At 35.7% G+C, this 23916-nt stretch overlaps 1 protein-coding gene and 1 non-coding gene across 4 annotated transcripts in view; one reads left to right on the top strand and one right to left on the bottom strand.

Annotated features, from left to right (window-relative positions):
- Window positions 1-23916, bottom strand: part of GABRB1 (gamma-aminobutyric acid type A receptor subunit beta1) — a 432801-nt gene that overhangs the window by 108525 nt on the left and 300360 nt on the right. The window lies entirely within an intron of this gene.
- LOC124900908 (small nucleolar RNA U13) lies at window positions 11886-11989 on the top strand. The gene has a single exon (XR_007058550.1). It is a non-coding gene; the product is annotated as a small nucleolar RNA U13 (small nucleolar RNA).

Here is a 23916-nt window from a genome sequence, read left to right as displayed (position 1 = left end):
GATTATGTACAATGACCAAGAGGGATTTGTTACTGGGATACAAGGATGATTCACCGTATGTGAATATATATATATATCAGAGTATTTTTGAGGCTTCCAAGGTGAGTTATTGCTTTGGTCATTTGCGCTAAACTATCAGCAATAAAGGCTTCTTTTTCCTAAAGGAAAAAGAAAAACCCTACCTCTTTCCAATTTTCCTTTGGCTTTCATTATGAAAGATGAAAGCTCACAGATATGAACATTTTCACATACCTTTTGAAGCCTTTCTTAGGACATTGGTTAATTTACTTGAATTTATTTAAGCATTACATCAGAGCAAAAGGAATTTTCAAGTTTAATTAAATTTTTTTTCAAAATGTTTTACAAAACACTATGCTTTCTGTTCCTATGATCATATGGGTTAATTTATTCACTTTATTAAGTGTATCTTTTGTTGTCTAAAAATACAGTTCTGCAACATTCTTTTTTTTAGTCTCATAGTGATTCAAACACCCTAAATAAAACACCCACAATAAATATTAAAAATTCATTTGTCTGCTATACTCTTTTACCATATTCTTTGTTTAACAGCTTCTTATGAATTAAAAAATTGTCAAGAGGGGAATATTCTCTGGGAATTACTAAAATGTGGCAAGTCCTGTGATTCTACAATTTAGCTGATGCTTTTCAGTCAGAGATGATTTTGCCTCACTGGGGACATTTGGAAATATATCTGGACCTAAAAGTTTGAAACTGGAATCTAGTAGATGGAGCCCAGAGATGCTGTTAAACATCCTACCATGCACAGGACAGTCCCCAACAACAAAGACTTAGCTTTTCCAAAATGTCAATGGTGCCAAGGTTAAGACATCCTGCTACAATGATGGTTTACAAATTTGATAAGGGACCTCAGTATGTAAAGTACAAATGAAATAAATAAAAGCCATATTTTGTTAATATAAAATCACCTTGTAAGTTCTAATGTTGATCCATTTTAATGGGCACATACATATAAAAGCAGGGATTATGATGAGAATTATGGTTTTAAGCCTCTGTCATTACCAATTTATTTTTTATTGCATTTTATTTATACAGCATTGAGAAAATCCTTATAAATAGTGAAGTACTTGCTTCTAAATTCTTAAATAACCAAGCAAAGGCTACCCTGAATTGGGAAAACAGGAACAACAACAGCCCCAACCCCTGTGCCAAGAAATCACCTTTATAGTCAATGATACCACTGCAAATGGTTTAGGAACACCCATAAATTGTTGGTCTCTAGAAGTACTTAATGATGGATTAAAGGCAAGCTTTACTTGGTGCTCAATGCTCTGCATAATTTAACCTGGCAGCACAAGTTAATATAGTGATCTTGAATGTGTTAACATGGGGCATAGGACATTCTCATATTTATTGCAACATATTCACAATAGCCAAATATGGAATCAACCTAAGTGCCTATTAACAGATGAATGGAGAAAGAAAATGTGGTAGATATGGACAATGGGATATTAGTCAGCCATAAAAATGAAATCCCGTCATATGCTGCAACATGGATGGAACTGGAGGCCATTATGTTAATTGAAATAAGCCAAGCACAGAAATACTAATATTGCATGTTCTAATGCACATGTGAGAGCTAAAAAAATGGATCTCAAGATAGAGTGTAAAGTGGTAGTTACCAAAGACCTAAAAAAGGGAGTGATGAAAGGAAAAATAAGCATATAGTATATTAATTACCACCAAACTATACATTTAAATGTAGTAAAGATGGTAAATTATATATGTATATTTTACCTCAATAGAAAAAGCACCTAAGACATTTAAGAAAGTAACATAGGACAGGTGATAGTGTAATGCTTCTTATTATAGTTTAAAATATTTATTATATAATTTTTAAGTTTTATTTTAGGTTCTTGGGTACATATGCAGGTTTGTTATACAGGTAAATTGCATGTTACAGGGATTTGGTGTACAGACTATTTCACCACCCAGGTAATAGTCATAGTATCCAATAGGTAGTTTTTCGATCCTCACCTTCCTCCTTCCCTCCACCTTCAAGTATGCCTCAGTGACTGTTTTTCCTTCTTTGTGTCCATATATATTAATATTTAATGTTTAGCTCCCACTTATAAGTGAGAACATGTGGTGTTTGGTTTTCTGTTCCTGTGTTAGTTCACTTAGGCTAACGGCTGCCACCTCCATCCATGTTGCTGCAAAGGACATGATCTCATTCTTTTTTAAGGTTGTGTAGTATTCCATGGTGTATATGTATCACATTTTCTTTATCCAGTCTACTGTTAATGGGCACTTAGGTTGACTCCATGCCCTTGCTATTGTGAATAATACTAAGATGAACATATGTGTGTATGTATCTTTAAGGTACAATGACTCATATTCCTTTTGGCATATACTCAACAAGGGAATTGCTGAGTCAAATGGTAATTTTGCTTTGAGTTCTTTGAGAAATCACCAAACTGCTTTCCACAATGGCTGAACTAATTTACATTTCCACCAGCAGTGTATAAATTTTCCTTTTTCTCTGCAACCTTACCAGCATCTCATATTTTTTTACTTTCTAATAATAGCCATTCTGACTGGTGTGAGATGGTATCACATTGTGGTTTTATATGCATTTTTAATGATTAGTGAAGTTGAGCATTTTTTATATGCTTGTTGGATGCGTGTATGTCTTCTTTTGAAAGGTGTTCATGTTCTTTGCCTACTTTTAATGGGTTTGTTCATTTTTTGCTTGTTGATTTCTTTAAGTTCTTTATATATTCTGGATATTAAACCTTTGTCAGATGTGTAGTTTGCAAAATTTTTCTCCCATTCTATAGGTTGTCTGTTTGTTCTGTTGATGAACAACATTCTAATGATGTTTTGCTGTGCAGAAGCTCTTTAGTTTAATTAGGTCCCATTTGTCAATTTTTGTTTTTATTGCAATTGCTTTTGCTGTCTTCATCACGAAATCTTTGCCAGATCCTCTGTCCAGAATGGTATTTCTGAGGTTGTCTTCCAAAGTTTTTCTTTTACATTTAAGTCTTTAATCCATCTTGAGTTGGATGGCCCCACACATGATTTTCTAAAGCATGATTCTAGAAAAGATGTGATTATAAGGGCATCCTGATTTTCTGTTTAAATGTGGATGAAAAATAGGAACTATGGTGTAAGAAAGGAGTGTAATTTCAATCTTCTGGATATGGCTAGCCAGTCATCTCAGAATCATTTATTGTATAGAGAGTCCTTTCCCCATTGCTTGTTTTTGTCAACTTTGTCAAGCATCAGATGGTTGTAGGTGTGCAGCAAAAAGTAACAATAGTTTTAAATAAAATTAGAATCCAATATTTGTGGCACCATTAAAGAAAAAGCCTTAGGGATACTTGAGAGTGTTATTTGAGCACCACTGGTCAGCACATCTCACTTTATTTAGTCCATTTTCAGAAAAAATGTCATCTGGTTAGTTAACCACTCCATTATTAAATCAGGACATGCATTGAAATATAATATTGAACCATTGATTCAGAATTGTGAATTACAATAGCTTTTACAAAGTAGTTTACATAGCCAATTTAGCATTGTCTACAAAATAACTAGTTAATGTCTCATGTGTATGGGTACTTAGAGTTGTGAGTAATTTTTAAAAAACCCAACTTTTAGGAAGCATAACTGAATTTACTGTTGCTAGCCATTATGACCAATCTATTCAACAATCAATAGTTATAAGGAATATAAATGATATCACCTAGGGAAACTATATGTCACACCAAGACTTTACCATAACTCATTGTTTTTTAAACTACGATCACCTCGGCCAATTTACTTTTATTCCTCCCAAATCCCAATATAATATTAAAGAGAATTGAGTAATCATCACAACTTAGCAAGAGAAGAAATCAATAGCTCTAAGAACTTACTCTTAAAAAGTCATCTGATTTCCTTTGGAAAGTACTGAAACAACTTCCGTCTTGGAATATATATGTTCCACATTTCAGACTCACAGGAGGATTTCACTGGTCTAACTTGAATTAGGTACCAACTCTCCCACAACTATTTAGTAAGGGTTGGAGGACAGCACTAATACACAAATACAAATATGGTCACCAAAGACCCACAGGACTCTCTGAGAAGGGAGGAATTATTGAGACTCAGACAGGGCCTCCCACACAAGCACATATTCATGAATCTATGTTAGGCTATAGAAATCTGTGTAATACAGTGTTGAACTCTGCTGATTTAGGAGTTTGGCATTTCTAGATTCTGTAATGCTTATGGTTAAGTGAGCTGAGTGTATGAGCTCTTTGTGAGAAAAAATTGTTCAGCAAGAATTCCCCAGATCATCAACAAAAAGAGAGATGTCCCTGGGCAGAGTTCTGTTCAGCTCTCTTGTCTTCTGGGTGAGAAGCAACAATGAGTATCTCTAAGAATGATTGCTCTTGTATTTCCATTTGTTCTCCTTGCCTAATATGACTGCTTCACAGTTGTTAGTCACTTCTACCATTAATTAACACATCCACATGGAAATGTACTCACACTGTGGCTGAAACTGGCTGATTATAAATTGAAAAGATTGAATTGTTAATTCTGTCTTTAGTTTTTTAAACTCAAGATTTTCATTCTGGTGTGTGAAAATATTTTTGTTGGTGGATAGCAAATGAAAGTATAGGATGGTAAAACCAGCTAAAGGCAAAAGCATTAACTGACTGTTCTTCTGCAGAGAGATTTCCCAGAGGTAGACTCATGACAGCATAACATTCATCTGTCTTCTTTCAAAGACATTTAGAATGGATTACATTATAATCCCAATTTATTGACATTTTGAAAGTTAGGTCAGAACACTATAATGGGCTATTAGTTAGAAACTATGGTCTCATGATACTTTGGAATGAACAGAAATCATGTCACTGTAGTATTCATTTATTAAGGTTAATGATGCATGGTCATTGGCCTTAGGAGTCATTGTAATAGCAAATCATGTATATTTAATGTCTGAAGGTGGCATGATTCTAATTGCTGACAAAACATAATCCAAAAGCCCTGGCCCATAAGTATCTTGAAACCTAGGTTTTTACACACACACACAAATACACACGTGTGCACACATATACACATGGAGAGGGTACATTTGCAAATAGCAATGTGAACTTAAATTAACAAATTATGTATGCTCAGTTGAGGTTTTCCTATAATCATGAATTTTATCAGGAAGAACTCCCAAGTTTTAAACCCCATCTCTGTATAACATAATTGTACAGTTTAATAGAATCTGTATGAAAGAAAAATGTGAAAGAAAATCCCCTAAAAATGCTGAACCCTATTTATACTCCTAATATTGGTGAAATTGAGAGTGAGTAGCTGTTACAAGATTGATATCAGTATCACTCAATAGAGTGTTTGAAGAATGGCTTGTTTAGCCTCTTGGATACACCTTTAATTCATGTTAGTTACATTACACAAAGAAACTGATGAGAGAAGATGGATGGGTTAGTCTAAGTTATGACTAAAGAGTACATAGATTTTTTGCAGCTAATACTCATTAACTGCTCAGTGCAATAGGGTGAAAAGAATTTGCATTATCTTCATAGTTGTGACAGGATTTTGGCTAGTCTGTTTAGAAAAATACATTGGTATTTGAAGGTGAAATCCTGGGAGCGTGAGACATAAATGATAAGGAAACCAAAGGAGATAAACTGTTTTGTGAGATTTAAGAGGAATTTAGGTGTGAGGAAGCAAAATGTTGGAGTAGTAAAAAACTTTAAAGAACGGTCATATTGATATTTAATTTTAAAATTTTTGCGGTGCAATCATAATACATTTTCTGTATTTACTCAAACAAAGCCTGATACACACCAAGCATGCCTGTATGCACGCGCACACACACACACACACACACACACACACACACAAGCCTTGGGTAAATGTTTTATTTTTATACTTGGAATACTGGGAAGGGGCTGAACTTCTTATCCTGACAGCATTATTGGAACAGTAGTCTATAAACTGAAGCAATTCAAAGCCAGAGATTACATAAGCCCTTTGGAAAGCCTCAGCAATCTCGGGGAGGGCATTGGACTCCCACAAATAATGGATTGCGGGTTCAAGCTACTCTTACCTAGATCTAAAGAGGCAGAGTTACTTTGGCTAGTAGTATGTTAGAATCCTAGATGACAGGCACTGTACTAAGCACCTCACATACAGTATTAGTTTCCTCTTGCTACTGTAACAAGGTACCACAAGCTTAGTGGCTTAAAACAACACAAATTTATTCGCTTACAGTTCTGTAGATCAGAAGTCCTAAAATCAAGGTGTTAGCAGGGCTGTGTTCCTCCTGGAGGCTCTAAGGGAGAACTTATTTATCTGCCTTTTTCAGCTTCTAGGGGGCATTTGCATTCCTTGGCTTATGGACCCTTCCTCCATCTTCAAAGCACATCTCACTCTCCTGCTTTCCTTTCATAAGAACCCTTGTGATTACATTGGGCCCACTAAGATATTCCAAGATAATCGACTATCTTTTTTTTTTTTTTTTTTTTTTGAGACAGAGTCTCGCTCCGTTATCCAGGCTGGAGTGCAGTGGCACGATCTCAGCTCACTGCATCCTCCATCTCCCAGCTTCAAGAGATTCTCCTGCCTCAGCCTCCCCAGTAGCTGGGATTACAAGCATGAAACACCACGCTTGGTATTTTGTTGTTGTTGTTGTTGTTGTTGTATTTTTAGTAGAGACGGGTTTTTACCATGTTGGCCAGGCTGGTCTCGAACTCCTGACCTCAAATGATCCACCCGCCTTGGCCTCCCAGAGTGCTGGGATTACAGGCGTGAGCCACCGCGTCCTCCAGCGGACTTCATCTTTTTTTCTTTTCATGTTTTTTTTTTTTTTTTTTTTTTTGAGACAGAGTTGCTCTCTGTTACCCAGGTTGGAGTGCAGTGGTGCGATCTTGGCTCACTGCAACCTCTGCCTCCCAGGTTCAAGCTATTCTCCTGCCTCAGCCTCCTGGTCTCAAGTGATCCGCCCACCTCAGCCTCCCAAAGTGTTGGGATTACAGGCGTGAGCCACTGTGCTTGGCCACAGACCTTATCTTAGTTACATCTGCAAAGCCCCTTTTGCCATGAGAAGTAGAATATTTACAGGTCCAGAGAATTTAGGACATGGACATCTTTGGAGGAGAAAGCATTATTTTACCACACGTGCATTATTTATTATTTATAATAGCCTTATTATGTTGAAGCCTTTTCCACTCCAATATCAAAGATAAGAAAATTAACATCTCACTGTATTAATAAATTTTTCCAAGTTTACATAGTCTATGGTAATGCTGAGATTCAAACCCAGATAGACTAGATTCAAGGGTTAAGTTCTCCCCAGTTATTGTAGTTAGGCCAGATGAATCTAAGCAGAGAAGATTTGCTTCAGTAACATTTCTTCCATGAGCAGTTAAACAAAGCACAAATATTAAAAGTTTACCTTACCATATTTTTAGTATTAATTTAGTTATCAGTAATTTATGACATTCATTACCAAATACATAGTGAGTATAAAATGATATATGACTAACCAGGAATCAGGCAATTCTGTAAGCATTGGCTACAGCAATTAAAAACATCCAGCTACATATTCATGCTGTCATATATATGTATATATTTTAATACTGTAAGGTCTCAAGAGAGAAGATGGAGCCACTGTCTACTTGTTTTATAAAATAGGTAAGGTGTGCTTATTTCTCATTTAGAACTATTACCTTTGCCATTTTTTTAGAAATCCAGAGCTCTTACATCAGATAAATATTTACATTATTAAGAAAGCCTAAATATCACTCAGGATTGCAATGCAAGACAGTTTAGTTCTATACTTATTTGGGTGGTGGCAACTTGGACAAAATGTGCCTCAACCTAGGTTTATGATAATTCATGAATGCAGGTATGATGCAGGTGGAATGTGGTATGGAACAGGAAAGAAAAGAGAGTTATTATATGCATGTACAAGTTCAATGCTTGATACACAGTAGGCACTCAATTAACAGTAGCTGCTATCACTTTCAGTCAATATGCTTCCAAAGAAATAAAAAATGCATATAACACTACTATTACAAATACATTATCAGAGTAACATGTGGCCATATTAAAACATCTGGAAAATACAGAAAATTATAGATGAGAGAAAAAATGACCCATAATGACATTATCACAGTTTTATTATTAATTTCTTTTCTTCTTAAAATTGAGATTATATTGTATGTAGCAATTTCATTTGCTACTTTGGTCAACCTATAGGTAAGAACTTTCTTAAGTCTTAGGTATGCTCCATGGACATAATTTTAATGGATACTATACCCTGTGACTTACTTAACAATTCAGCTATTGGGAGATATCATTAAATGTTCTTTAGGATGCTTTAAAAAAATCACACTGAGTAAATAGCATTCTCACTGCTATTCTTATTTTTTGATTCCATATTTCTGCTTTCTTTCCCTCCTCTCTTTTGTAGACTTAGTGCTGAATGCTAATGACACTCTTCTCAGTGCAATCCCAGGCAGTCATTTTCAGCTAATTAGCTACACAGCAAAGGTTGCATAAATGGGCCCATTATTATTCACTTCTGTTGGGGCAGGGTGATTCATGAACCACTTTATAAATATGAAAAGCAGTCCATAAATCAGAGTAGGGGATTGAGGGTGGGCAAAAAAAAACTTTAAAGGATTAATAGGGAATAGAACAATAGTAATTAACAGGCTCATGTCAAAGTTCCAGTGTCAGGGTGAGTCATATTTTACCATGAATGTCTGGCTGAGTTCAAGACATACTATTTTTCCTAAATTGTATCATTATACACATATGTCTATGAAGTGTAAGAGTATGCATTTAATTTATACCATATTTAATACTTCCTATTAACCAATAAGCTGAAATATGTATTAGACTGCAGAAATAAAATGAGGTTGCCCTCTCAAATTAAAGCATCTTTATTCTTATCGTCTTGATTATTAGGAATTTCTGTAGTGGACAAATTGCCAGGACTTGAAACGATAGCAATAGTTTCTTGGTCTTTTGGCTAAGAACAAGTGTGGTATCTTTTCTTAACAATTTAAAACAATAGCAAGCCCTAAGCATTCAGAAACGACCTAGATATTGAAATAAACATAGAAGCCAAAGAAAATGTTTACCTGGAATGGAATGCTCTGACTTGGAATCAGTAAGTACAGGATAACTAAACAAGACTCAGACAGAAGGAAGAGCTAGAGCAAATACATGAATCTCCTTCACAGTTACTACCTTTTTGGTTTATTTGCAAACCAATTCTATTGCTTTGCCACATGATTCTCTTTCCTAGAACAAAGAGCAGACACATTTACTGAAAGGTAATCAGTCATCTTGAAGTGGTATTCCTCAAGGAGTAAAGTAAAATTCAAGAGTGATGGAGTATTAAGATACTGTGTTGTTTGAGAACAATAGCTTTATGCTGAGAAAAAACAAACAAAACCAAAACCAAATAGGACAGAAGAATAAATTGTGCAAAATTCCCAGCTCCCTAAGGGGATAAAAGCAGGCCCAAGACATTTACTTTCTATTCAAATAAGCAATAAAGAAAACAAATATCCTGAAATTAGTGGAGAAATGCTACTTCTAGAGCAATGATTAGCATTGTAGTATGTCTTTTCATTTTTCCCCTATGTGGACTTTTTGCATATTTGTAATCATACTTAGGATTCTGTTTCCTTCGCATTGAATCTTAATATCAGATGCCTTTTCCTCATCGGCATCAGGATTGTAATTTTTTCAATGGGAAACAGTATACTTTAAATTGAACATTTAGGTGGCTTTCAATTTTGTCAGTTTAAAACGAAGCTAAAACATTTTCATGAATATATTATTTTTCCACATTTTGTATTATTTCTCTAGCTAGAATCTAATAAATAAGATTATTATATCCAAAGATACAAAAATGTGTATGTCAAAAATGCTTTCTTCAAGGATTGTGCTAAATTATAATGCAAAATATTATTAATTTTCTTCACTGGTTCTCAGTTGGATATTGTAATATTTTTGTTCATTAAATAGATGAAAAATGGTACTTTTGTGATTTAAATTTTTTAATTACTAACAGAATGAAGTGTTTCTCATGTAATTGTTTACAAGCTGAATTTGAAACTATTCGTTCTCTAGATACCAAAATTATTAGTGATATATCAATATATCAACTTATGACTAAAAGAATATATCAATAATAATATTTTATTAAATATCAGGCAGGAATGAAAAGTATCGCAGTATAGATTAACTTTGCTGTTGTCTTATTCAGTTACTTAGATGAATAAATTTGTGTTGTTGAATTTAATATCTTTGTTGACATATATTTTTATGGTTTATTGTTAAACTTTTTTGGAAGGAGGTATAAGTTATAGAAATAAAAAATTAAAATAAGGCCTGTGTTGCTTTTCAGAGTTCACAATGAACACCATCAAAATCAAGTGAATTGAGAGGTGATCACATATTCTAAAAGACAAAAATAGGAAGGGGATTTTGTATATTTTCAAGTTAATAATTGAGCACTCCAGATATCATACTAACAATAAAACATGATTTCTGTCTCTGCTTTTGTGAGCATAAATCCCTAAAAATGACCACATTTAAAAGCTACAAAACAAAATTAGTTTTATTTTCTATTCATTTTTATAGGTCCAGTGTTAAATAGGTAAATTCTGGAGGGGTCAATATATCAACAAAACACTAGTTTTTTAAAAATAAGAAATACTATTTATTTCTATAACAAAGAAATTATAAACTAATATAATAAGAGATCATTTTCTAGCTGTCTGAGATTGGCCAAGATTGTCTGGTGACATTGGATTTTTTTGTCCCTTTGGGAAAATTAGGAGTCATACTTCTGGTGAGAAAATAAATGGATACATCCACCATGGTAAACATTTTGACAACATATTGATTCAGTGATTACCTCTTGACTCAGCCACTATACTTCTAGTTCCCTACTTGCTACACACAAGGAAACGTAAGTAGAGATGTTCCTCAAGCACTCCTTGTAAAAGCAAAATGAGTAAACACCAAAATGGTCCAGCAAAGCTAAATGGATACACACCTCTAGTGCATATACACTGGATTACTTTACAGCATTTAAAATGAATGAAATAGGTCTACATGTATGAACATGGGTATGTCTTACATAGTGTTGTGTGGAAAACAAACAAACAAAAAAAAGAAGAGATGCTTACAAAAACTACATTTATTTAAAATTTTATAAGAATGAAACATTAGCATATATGTCTTAGGGAATCACATATGTGTAGCAAATTTTTAAAAATGTACACATTGAAAGGATACACAGTAATTTTAGAATAGTGGTTATCTCTGGGGAGGGAGAGGTAGGGGAAGGAAAAAAGAGGATGGGATGAAGGTGGTATTGGATTAATCTATAATTCCTCCTCCCATCCTTGGTTCCTTTCTTCCTTTTTCTCTCCCTCCTTTCCTTCCTCTTTTCCTCCCTCCCTTCTCCTCTCCCTTCCTCCTATCTCTACCCTGCACCTCCCATCTCTACTTCGCACCTTCTATCTCTACCCCGCACCTTCTTCTCACTGTTCCCCTCCCTCCCACCTTAAATCCTCCCCTTCCTCCTACCCCACCCCTCCTCTTCCCATCCCTCTTTTCTTTTTCCTCCCCTTCCCTTCTTTTTTTTTTTTTCTTGTCAATTGTGTTATTTATTTTATTTTATTTTACTTTAAGTTCTGGGATACATGTGCAGAATGTGCAGGTTTGTTACATTCCATCTTTTGTCTATCTTTCCATTGTTCTTTCTTTAAAGGAAGCTGAAGCAAATAGGGCAACATGTTGTTATATTTTTAACCTCTCTGTTACTTTCCAGTTTGATATCCTTAGACAAACAGATAAATTCTCAAATGAAGTTCCTTTTGTAGTACATGAGCATGATGATTTAATTTTCACACACATGTGTAAGACATGCCTCTCTCAAACTTTGTTATGAGGTCAGCACATTACCTTTCTGATATTTAAAAAAAGAAAAATATCCCAAAATATCCCAAAATATCTCCACTTACACTCTTATTTTAAATGTTGCTTTGAACTGGGCATAGCCACCTTCCTGTCCCCAGTTTGAGTTACAACAGGAAAGGTAAAGGAACACAAAGATTATCTCTCCATCACATTGACTCTATACCTAATTGGTATTTAATACTGGGTGATAATTATGATCTTTCAAAATGAGTTCCTTCAATGAAGAAATTCATCAACTTACACGGATCTTGGTGTTTGAAACTGACACATATTTCTCCACATTTCTCATTATTGCAATTACACATTCATTTATTTGATTACTTGCTTCTTGTGTGACTTCCACCTGAACAGATGGTAAGTACCCCATAGGAAATGATCTCATAATGAACCATTTACTAGGGCCCAGCTCAGTGTCTGACACAGAATTGATGTGTAAGGTAATGAAATTAATATGGAAACTAAGGAAACACTGAAATCATTACTTTTCTAAAGAAGAAAGAAGACAACCAGTGTGATATCTTCATTAAAAAATTATGCCACTGTTGCTTGAAAAATATATTCATGGTAAAGATCCATTTTCTTTCTCCTGACTAAATTCTCATTAAAAATCATTTTTAGTCCATTGGTTAAATAAACAACTACAGATCATTGTCAGTTGGACAATTTCCAGGGCCATGAAACTACTAAAAGTATGCTCAAATTAAGCTAGATATTTTAGGAACTCTCAATTGTTAAATTTTAGACACCCTGTGGCTTGAGAGAGAGGCGGCTAAAACACTGGTATACACATCGAATAGTCTAAGCATAAACATGGGTTAAGGTCCTACTTCTCTTGCTATTAAGAATACAAACAGATTAGGGCCTCGAAGTACAAAATGTTGGTTTCTTTTCAAGAAACAAAATGACTGTCCTTGCCAAAAGAATAAATGAATGAGGCCTTCAGTGATTAATCTATGTCTGAGTTTCCTCCCATGTTAAGTGAGTGGACCAGTGGCTGGACTTTTCTATGAGAAAAGGAAGTATTCACATGGTACAAGAGGATTTCTGTTTTTAACCATTAAAACATCATTTTGATTAGTGTCATTAGAATGCTAACTTCATGAACAATTAAAAATTAATATTTTCTGGCAGATTTTAGTAGCTCCATACATAAAATCCAGGGGAAGATAAATGAAGTCATATGGTTCTGATTCACTGCTAGTGTTACAACCCATTGTGAATTTGATCACAATCCAATTTGTACTTCAAATATCATCTAAATTTGCTTAATTTCCATTTGTAACATTGTAAACTGGAAAAATTATGTCAAAAGCAATTTGTTTAGAAAACAATCAACAGAGATAATAGACAGCCTATGAAATGAAAGAATTTGCAAACCAAACATCTGACAAGGGGTTAATATCCAAAATATCTAAGAAACTCATACAAATCAATAGCAAGAAAACAAGTAACCCAATTAAAAGATGGGCAAAGGATTTGAATGGATACTTCTCAAAAGCAGACATACAAATAACCAACATGTATATGAAAAAATTGTTCAATATCACTAATCATTAGAGGTGCAAATTAAAATCAAAATATTACCTCATATCCATTAGAATGGTTATTATCAAAAAGATGAAAGATAAATGTTGGTGAGTTGTGGGGAAAAGAGAAGCCTAGCACACTGTTGGTGAGAATGTAAATTAGTACAACCATTATGGAACCAGGATGGAAGTTCCTCAAAACATTAAAAATAGAACTACCATATGATCCTGCAATCCGTCTACTGGGTAAATAGTCAAAGGAAACAAAATCAGTCTGTTGAAGAGATATCTGCATTCCCATGTTCATTGCAAGGATATGGAATCAACTAAGTGTCCATTAACAGTTGAATGGATAAAGAAAGCATGGTGTACAGATACACAGTGAAATACTATTCAGTCTTAAAGAAGGAAGTCTTGTCATTTACAATAGCATGGATAAACCTAGAGGACATCATGTTAAGTGAAATAAGCCCAGCACAGAACGACAAATGCCACATGATTTCACTCATATGTGGAATCTAACAAGTTAAAGTCATAGAAGTAGAGAATAGAATGCTGGTTACCAGGGACTGGGTGGGGAAAGGGTATTAGAGAGATAATCAGTCACTCTAGTTAATAATAATGTATTCTTGAAAATTGCTAAAAGAGTAGATTTTTAAAAAACGATATGTGGGGTAATGCATATGTGAATTAGAACAATTTAGCCATTCTACAATGTATAGATATTTCAAAATAGCATGTTGTACATAATAAATATAAACAATTTTTGTCAGTTAAAAATAAATGATAAAAAGGTAACTTTAAATAAATCTGATCTTATATTTGTACTTTCAAGACAGAGTAAAAAAATGAAGAAAATAAAGCAATGTTTAGAGAAGCATTAAAACTGAAACATACATGGACATATAGAAAGATATTTCAAAAATAGTTTGTCACAAGAAGTAACTTGATATTATTTCCTATGTAAGTTTTATATATTTTTGATTGGCATTATTAGAATGATATATATATATATAGAGAGAGAGAGAGAGAGAGCACACCTTCAACATTCACCTTAAACATTTAAAGTGTAATTTAAACTATCAACATTGTTCTTTATTAAAGATTAATAATGCAAATTTATTCATGTTTATTTCCATTTGTGTAGAAATACATCATTTACACTGCAAGAAGGCTGTGATTTCTAGAAATCAATTTCAAATAAATTACAAAATGCACAGAGGTTCTGTGCTTTCTTTATAGTAGTCAAACTTTTTAAAATAAAGTTTTAGTAACTAGAAATTCAGAGTAAATAAATGTGCATTTCTTCTCATCTTCCCTTTCCTACCACCACCTCTCAAACTAAAAACAACAAAACAAACCCCTAAATACACTGTATTCATAAAGAACATGTGAGCACATAGCACATACATTGTTAAAGTTAAAAAATGTACTTCTTAACAAGGGAAATGATACATAGAACTTTGCCTAGGTTACATTAAACATAGTTAATTTCTGTGACCATTACACTTCAGAATAATAAAAGTCATGATAAACATTTTCAGGTTTATGGTAACCTGAAATTGGAACCTGAATGTTCCAATTAACTCCAGTAATTAATTAATCTGAATGAAAGGCTCTTTTGGTACCTTGCCTATTTAAATGAATAAACAAATTGTGAAGTCCTATTACACAAGAACTGCGTAAATTAGAGCTACATTTTAGTAGAGATCATTATTATACTGAGTACATTCAAGATCTTGTACCCTGAAAATCTTATTTTTAGACCTAATTGTTAATTAAGAAAATATTGTACAATAAACACATAAAGCCTAATTTTGAATATTCCTTATGCATCATAATTTGGGTTTAAAAACATGAGTCACAGCAAAGGATTCTTGAATTTTGTATATTTTAAAATATTTAAATGCAGTTTATTAAGTTAATATTTGTGAATCTTATATAAATTATTAGTAGTCTTACAGTAAATGATATATTCAGAAATATGCCGAACTTATAATATCACTTATGAAAATAGAAGGTTTTTCTAATAAAAATAAGTAAAAATAACATTCCTCTCTTGAGTCATTTCCTAAAATTTTACATTCAAATTTTCTATAAATAAGTTGCTCCATTTTATAGATAAATGCTACATTTAATACAGCAACTAGAAATAGGAAAATGGAAGAAACGGTACTAAGCACTTTACATATATTATCTTTTTAAATCCTCACAGTATCTCCCCTGTACATTGGGAATTGTTGGATCAAAAGAGAAATCTTAGTATATCAGAGGAGGGAAACATATGACCATGAATCTTGTGCTATGTTTAATCTTGATCTGTGGCAAAGTACATATCCGAATTTATAAACACTCTACATTTCTTTATATTTGTAACTTAGAAAGGGCTTTACCTTTCATTCTGTAGGAAAAAAAATTGTGAAAGATTTTGAAATGAACCAAAAAGATGACCAGATGTCTAGTAGTCAAAATTATCTCACCTTCACTGTCTATGAATTATTTTGGAACTCTCTACATTATTTAAAAATGATAGAAAAGCAACAAATTTCTACCTGTAGAATTGCAGTTGTAATTGATTATTGCCCTGTGGATACTGGCCAATTTTGCCAATTTGCATATATTTGTAAGTGCTTTTCAGTATGCTATGTTTTTTCAGTATACTATGTCTTTTCAGCATGCTTAGTCCTTGGATTCTCCTTTGAATGAGCTGTAGCATCTTAATAAATCTCTCATTAATTAATGGGTTAATTGAAATGTTTTTTTTTTTTTGAGACAGAGTCTAGCTCAGTTGCCCAGGCTGGAGTGCAATGGTGTGATCATGACTCACTGTAGCCTCAACTTCCTGGGCTCAAGCGATCCCCTGACCTTAGTCTCCCAAGTAGCTGGGACTACAGGCACGCACCACCATGCCTGGCTAAATTTTTTATTGTAGAGATGGGGATCTCACTATGTTGTCCAGGCTGGTCTTGAACTCCTGGGTTCAAGCAATCTTCCTGCCTTGAACTACCAAAGTGTTGGAATTACAGGTGTGAGCCACCATGTCCAGTCTTATTAAAATCTTTAATCCATTTTGTTTTATACTTTTACATGAATTTATCTTTTTAAACTGATTGCCCATGAACCATTTTGGAGGTAATCTACTATAATATCCAATGGATTTATTTAACAGAGCCAGGTAAAATATGTTGCCAGAGTAGTGTATCTCATTAGGATACTTAAGGTTGGTGTGTCTTTTTGGTTCCTAGAAATGAAACCTAAGAGTCAACATAACCTAAGTTTGCTGACTGAATTTCTCTATTTTCCTTCCCTCTACTGATTTTTGTTTCTTTTTTTGTTTCTGGTTTGCTTATAGCCACTAATTTATTCTACATTGGTGACAGCAATGACTGGGAATTTGGTTTCATGATCTGATCATCTGGTGATTTATACAAATGGCTAACAGGTTATAGAGATAAGATTTCCATACTCTTTGGGTGACAGATAACAGAGAGACTGGTTTGTTTACATATACATATATACATATGTATGTATCTGTATAGCCTCTTTGTCCATTTTGAGCTTAAATCAATTAAGAATCTTGTATTCAGTGGAATGGAAAGCTGTTTGATATTTGGACTATGAGTTTTTGGGTTTCAATGTTTACTATTAACCTGTGGCAAAAGTGTTGATCTGGATTTATAAGCACACTAAGTGTCTTTGTGCCTGTATCAAAATATCTCATGTACCCCATAAATATATACACCTACAATGTACCCACAAATATTAAAAATAAAAAATTTAAAAAGGTCTTTACCTCTCATTGTATGAGAGCATTGACAAATTACATTATAAAGACTCAATATAAAGGGGCTGTGTCTTGATTGATTTAGATAAATAAGTGCTAATATAAATAAAATATGCTAACATTAATACTACATAATATTTAAGATTATGAAAAATATAAATTTGTGTTTAAATAAACTGGATCATTATTCTGACAAACTTTATGTCAATAGTAATTACGTTTTGTGATATGTCAGCTTGAAGATAATTTTTACAATGTCCCTCTTAAAGCCTAGGACTGATATTGAACTTAATTAATGAATAATCACTGGCTATTTAGATAATTTCTTTGTTTTTTTACTATTAACACTTTTTTAATTTTAATTTTAATTTCATTATTATTATACTTTAGGTCTTAGGATACATGTGCACAATGTGCAGGTTAGTTACATATGTATACATGTGCTGTGCTAGTGTGCCGCACCCATTAACTTGTCATTTAGCCTTAGGTATATCTCCTAATGCTATCCCTCCCCCCTCCCCCCACCCCACAACAGTCCCCAGAATGTGATGTTCCCCTTCCTGTGTCCATGTGTTCTCATTGTTCAATTCCCACCTATGAGTGAGAACATGTGGTGTTTGGATTTTTGTCCTTGCGATAGTTTACTGAGAATGATGAGTTCCAGTTTCATCCATGTCCCTACAAAGGACATGAACTCATCATTTTTTATGGCTGCATAGTATTCCGTGGTGTATATGTGCCACATTTTCTTAATCCAGTCTATCATTGTTGGACATTTGGGTTGGTTCCAAGTCTTTGCTATTGTGAATAGTGCTGCAATAAACATACGTGTGCATGTGTCTTTATAACAGCATGATTTATAGTCCTTTGGGTATATACCCAGTAATGGGATGGCTGGGTCAAATGGTATTTCTAGTTCTAGATTCCTGAGGAATCGCCACACTGACTTCCACAATGGTTGAACTAGTTTACAGTCCCACCAACAGTGTAAAAGTGTTCCTATTTCTCCACATCCTCTCCAGCACCTGTTGTTTCCTGACTTTTGAATGATGGTCATTCTAACTGGTGTGAGATGGTATCTCATTGTGGTTTTGATTTGCATTTCTCTGATGGCCAGTGATGATGAGCATTTTTTCATGTGTTTTTTGGCTGCATAAATGTCTTCTTTTGAGAAGTGTCTGTTCATGTCCTTCGCCCACTTTTTGATGGGGTTATTTGTTTTTTTCTTGTAAATTTGTTTGAGTTCATCGTAGATTCTGGAGATTAGCCCTTTGTCAGATGAGTAGGTTGCGAAAATTTTCTCCCATTTTGTAGGTTGCCTGTTCACTCTGATGGTAGTTTCTTTTGCTGTGCAGAAGCTCTTTAGTTTAATGAGATCCCATTTGTCAATTTTGTCTTTTGCTGCCATTGCTTTTGGTGTTTTAGACATGAAGTCCTTGCCCATGTCTATGTCCTGAATGGTAATACCTAGGTTTTCTTCTAGGGTTTTTATGGTTTTAGGTCTAACATTTAAATCTTTAATCCATCTTGAATTAATTTTTGTATAAGGTGTAAGGAAGGGATCCAGTTTCAGCTTTCTACATATGGCTAGCCAGTTTTCCCAGCACCATTTATTAAATAGGGAATCCTTTCCCCATTGCTTGTTTTTCTCAGCTTTGTCAAAGATCAGATAGTTGTAGATATGCGGCGTTATTTCTGAGGGCTCTGTTCTGTTCCATTGGTCTATATCTCTGTTTTGGTACCAGTACCATGCTGTTTTGGTTACTGTAGCCTTGTAGTATAGTTTGAAGTCAGGTAGCGTGATGCCTCCAGCTTTGTTCTTTTGGCTTAGGATTGACTTGGCAATGCAGGTTCTTTTTTGTTTCCATATGAACTTTAAAGTAGTTTTTTCCAATTCTGTGAAGAAAGTCATTGGTAGCTTAATGGGGATGGCATTGAACCTATAAATTACCTTGGGCAGCATGGCCATTTTTACGATATTGATTCTTCCTACCCATGAGCATGGAATGTTCTTCCATTTCTTTGTATCCTCTTTTATTTCATTGAGCAGTGGTTTGTAGTTCTCCTTGAAGAGGTGCTTCACATCCCTTGTAAGTTGGATTCCTAGGTATTTTATTCTCTTTGAAGCAATTGTGAATGGGAGTTCACTTATGATTTGGCTCTCTGTTTGTCTGTTATTGGTGTATAAGAATGCTTGTGATTTTTGCACATTGATTTTGTATCCTGAGACTTTGCTGAAGTTGCTTATCAGCTTAAGGAGATTTTGGGCTGAGATGATGGGGTTTTCTAGATACACAATCATGTCATCTGCAAACAGGGACAATTTGACTTCCTCTTTTCCTAATTGAATACCCTTTATTTCCTTCTGCCTAATTGCCCTGGCCAGAACTTCCAACTCTATGTTGAATAGGAGTGGTGAGAGAGGGCATCCCTGTCTTGTGCCAGTTTTCAAAGGGAATGCTTCCAGTTTTTGCCCATTCAGTATGATATTGGCTGTGGGTTTGTCATAGATAGCTCTTATTATTTTGAGATACGTCCCATCAATACCTAATTTCTTGAGAGTTTTTAGCATGAAGCGTTGTTGAATTTTGTCAAAGGCCTTTTCTGCATCTATTGAGATAATCATGTAGTTTTTGTCTTTGATTCTGTTTATATGCTGCATTACATTAATTGATTTGCGTATATTGAACCAGCCTTGCATCCCAGGGATGAAGCCCACTTGATCATGGTGGATAAGCTTTTTGATGTGCTGCTGGATTTGGTTAATTTTTGCATCAATATTCATCAAGGATATTGGTCTAAAATTCTCTTTTTTGGTTGTGTCTCTGCCCGGCTTTGATATCAGGATGATGCTGGCCTCATAAAATGAGTTAGGGAGGATTCCCTCTTTTTCTATTGATTGGAATAGTTTCAGAAGGAATGGTACCAGTTCCTCCTTGTACCTTTGGCAGAATTTGGCTGTGAATCCATCTGGTCCTGGACTCTTTTTGGTTGGTAAGCTATTGATTATTACCACAATTTCAGAGCCTGTTATTGGTCTATTCAGAGATTCAACCTCTTCCTGGTTTAGTCTTGGGAGGGTGTATGTGTCGAGGAATTTATCTATTTCTTCTAGATTCTCTAGTTTATTTGTGTAGAGGTGTTTGTAGTATTCTCTGATGGTAGTTTGTATTTCTGTGGGATTGGTGGTGATATCCCCTTTATCATTTTTTTTGTGTCTATTTGATTCTTCTCTCTTTTCTTCTTTATTAGTCTTGCTAGCGGTCTATCAATTTTGTTGATCCTTTCAAAAAACCAGCTCCTGGATTCATTAATTTTTTGAAGGGTTTTTGTGTCTCTATTTCCTTCAGTTCTGCTCTGATTTTAGTTATTTCTTGCCTTCTGCTAGCTTTTGAATGTGTTTGCTCTTGCTTTTCTAGTTCTTTTAATTGTGATGTTAGGGTGTCAATTTTGGATCTTTCCTGCTTTCTCTTATGTGCATTTAGTGCTATAAATTTCCCTCTACACACTGCTTTGAATGTGTCCCAGAGATTCTGGTATGTTGTGTCTTTGTTCTTGTTGGTTTCAAAGAACATCTTTATTTCTGCCTTCATTTCATTATGTACCCAGTAGTCATTCAGGAGCAGGTTGTTCAGTTTCCATGTAGCTGAGTGGTTTTGAGTGAGTTTCTTAATTCTGAGTTCTAGTTTGATTGCACTGTGCTCTGAGAGACAGTTTGTTATAATTTCCGTTCTTTTACGTTTGCTGAGGAGAGCTTTACTTCCAACTGTGTGGTCAGTTTTGGAATAGGTGTGGTGTGGTGCTGAAAAAAATGTATATTCTGTTGATTTGGGGTGGAGAATTTTGTAGATGTCTATTAGGTCCACTTAGTGCAGAGCTGAGTTCAATTCCTGGGTATCCTTGTTAACTTTCTGTCTCGTTGATCTGTCTAATGTTGACAGTGGGGTGTTAAAGTCTCCCATTATTATTGTGTGGGAGTCTAAGTCTCTTTGTACATCTCTAAGGACTTGCTTTATGAATCTGGGTGCTCCTGAATTGGGTGCATATATATTTAGGATAGTTAGCTCTTCTTGTTGAATTGATCCCTTTACCATTATGTAATGGCCTTCTTTGTCTCTTTTGATCTTTGTTGGTTTAAAGTCTGTTTTATCAGAGACTAGGATTGCAACCCCTGCCTTTTTTCGTTTTCCATTTGCTTGGTAGATCTTCCTCCATCCTTGTATTTTGAGCCTATGTGTGTCTCTGCATGTGAGATGGGTTTCCTGAATACAGCACACTGATGGGTCTTGACTCTTTATCCAATTTGCCAGTCTGTGTCTTCTAATTGGAGCATTTAGCTCATTTACATTTAAGGTTAATATTGTTATGTGTGAATTTGATCCTGTCATTATGATGTTAGCTGGTTATTTTGCTCATTAGTTTATGCAGTTTCTTCCTAGCCTCGATGGTCTTTACAATTTGGCATGATTTTGCAGTGGCCGGTACTGGTTTTTCCTTTCCATGTTTAGTGCTTCCTTCAGGAGCTCTTTTAGGGCAGGCCTGGTGGTGACAAAATCTCTCAGCATTTGCTTGTCTGTAAAGTATTTTATTTCTCCTTCACTTATGAAGCTTAGTTTGGCTGGATATGAAATTCTGGGTTGAAAATTCTTTTCTTTAAGAATGTTGAATATTGGCCCCCACTCTCTTCTGGCTTGTAGAGTTTCTGCCAAGAGATCCGCTGTTAGTCTGCTGGGCTTCCCATTGTGGTTAACCCGACCTTTCTCTCTGGCTACCCTTAACATTTTTTCCTTCATTTCAACTTTGGTGAATCTGACAATTATGTGTCTTGGAGTTGCTCTTCTCGAGGAGTATCTTTGTGGCATTCTCTGTATGTCCTGAATCTGAATGTTGGCCTGCCTTGCTAGATTGAGGACTTTCTCCTGGATAATATCCTGCAAAGTGTTTTCTAACTTGGTTCCATTCTCCCCGTCACTTTCAGGTACACCAGTCAGACGTAGATTTGGTCTTTTCTCATAGTCCCATATTTCTTGGAGGCTTTGTTCGTTTCTTTTTATTCTTTTTTCTCTAAACTTCCCTTCTCGCTTCATTTCATTCATTTCATCTTCCATCACTGATACCCTTTCTTCCAGTTGATCACATCGGCTCCTGAGGCTTCTGCATTCTTCATGTAGTTCTCGAGCCTTGGCTTTCAGCTCCATCAGCTCCTTTAAGCACTTCTCTGTATTGGTTATTCTAGTTATTCATTCGTCTAAATTTTTTTCAAAGTTTTTAACTTCTTTGCCTTTTGTTTGAATTTCCTCCTGTAGCTCGGAGTAGTTTGATCGTCTGAAGCCTTCTCCTCTCAACTCGTCAAAGTCATTCTCCATCCAGCTTTGTTCCGTTGCTGGTGAGGAACTGCATTCCTTTGGAGGAGGAGAGGCACTCTGCTTTTTAGAGTTTCCAGTTTTTCTGCTCCGTTTTTTCCCCATCTTTGTGGTTTTATCTACTTTTGGTCTTTGACGATGGTGATGTACAGATGGGTTTTTGTTGTGTATGTCCTTTCTGTTTGTTAGTTTTCCTTCTAACAGACAAGACCCTCAGCTGCAGGTCTGTTGGAGTTTGCTAGAGGTCCACTCCAGACCCTGTTTGCCTGGGTATCAGCAGTGGTGGCTGCAGAACAGCGGATTTTCGTGAACCACGAATGCTGCTGTCTGATCATTCCTCTGGAAGTTTTGTCTCAGAGGAGTACCCGGCCGTGTGAGGTGTCAGTCTGCCCCTACTGTGGGGTGCCTCCCAGTTAGGCTGCTCGGGGGTCAGGGGTCAGGGACCCACTTGAGGAGGCAGTCTGCCCGTTCTCAGATCTGCAGCTGCGTGCTGGGAGAACCACTGCTCCCTTCAAAGCTGTCAGACAGGGACATTTAAGTCTGCAGAGGTTACTGCTGTCTTTTTGTTTGTCTGTTTCCTGCCCCCAGAGGTGGAGCCTACAAAGGCAGACAGGCCTCCTTGAGCTGTGGTGGGCTCCACCCAATTCGAGCTTCCCGGCTGCTTTGTTTACCTAAGCAAGCCTGGGCAATGGCGGGCGCCCCTCCCCCAGCCTCGCTGCCACCTTGCAGTTTGATCTCAGACTGCTGTGCTAGCAATGAGCGAGACTGTGGGCGTAGGACCCTCCGAGCCACGTGCGGGTTATAATCTTCTGGTGCGCCGTTTTTTAAGCCTGTCGGCAAAAGCACAGTATTAGGGTGGGAGTGACCCGATTTTCCAGGTGCCATCTGTCACCCCTTTCTTTGACTAGGAAAGGGAACTCCCTGACCCCTTGTGCTTTCCGAGTGAGGCAATGCCTCGCCCTGCTTCAGCTCGGGCACAGTGCACTGCACCCACTGTCCTGCACCCATTGTCTGGCACTCCCTAGTGAGATGAACCCAGTACCTCAGATGGAAATGCAGAAATCATCTGTCTTCTGCGTTGCTCATGCTGGGAGCTGTAGAACGGAGCTGTTCCTATTTGGCCATCTTGGCTGCCCCCCACCTAGATAATTTCTAAGTAAGGTAGAATACTTAAACATTGATTACTAAGCATGCTTTTATATTTATGTACATTTGCTTCCTTTTTATGCTGTGGAGGGGTTGTAGCTTT

Source organism: Homo sapiens, chromosome 4 (genome assembly GCF_000001405.40).
Source record: "Homo sapiens chromosome 4, GRCh38.p14 Primary Assembly".
NCBI classification, from domain to species: Eukaryota; Metazoa; Chordata; class Mammalia; order Primates; family Hominidae; genus Homo; species Homo sapiens.
Note: the sequence above shows the minus strand (reverse complement) of the source record. Positions and strands in the feature narration are given on the sequence as shown.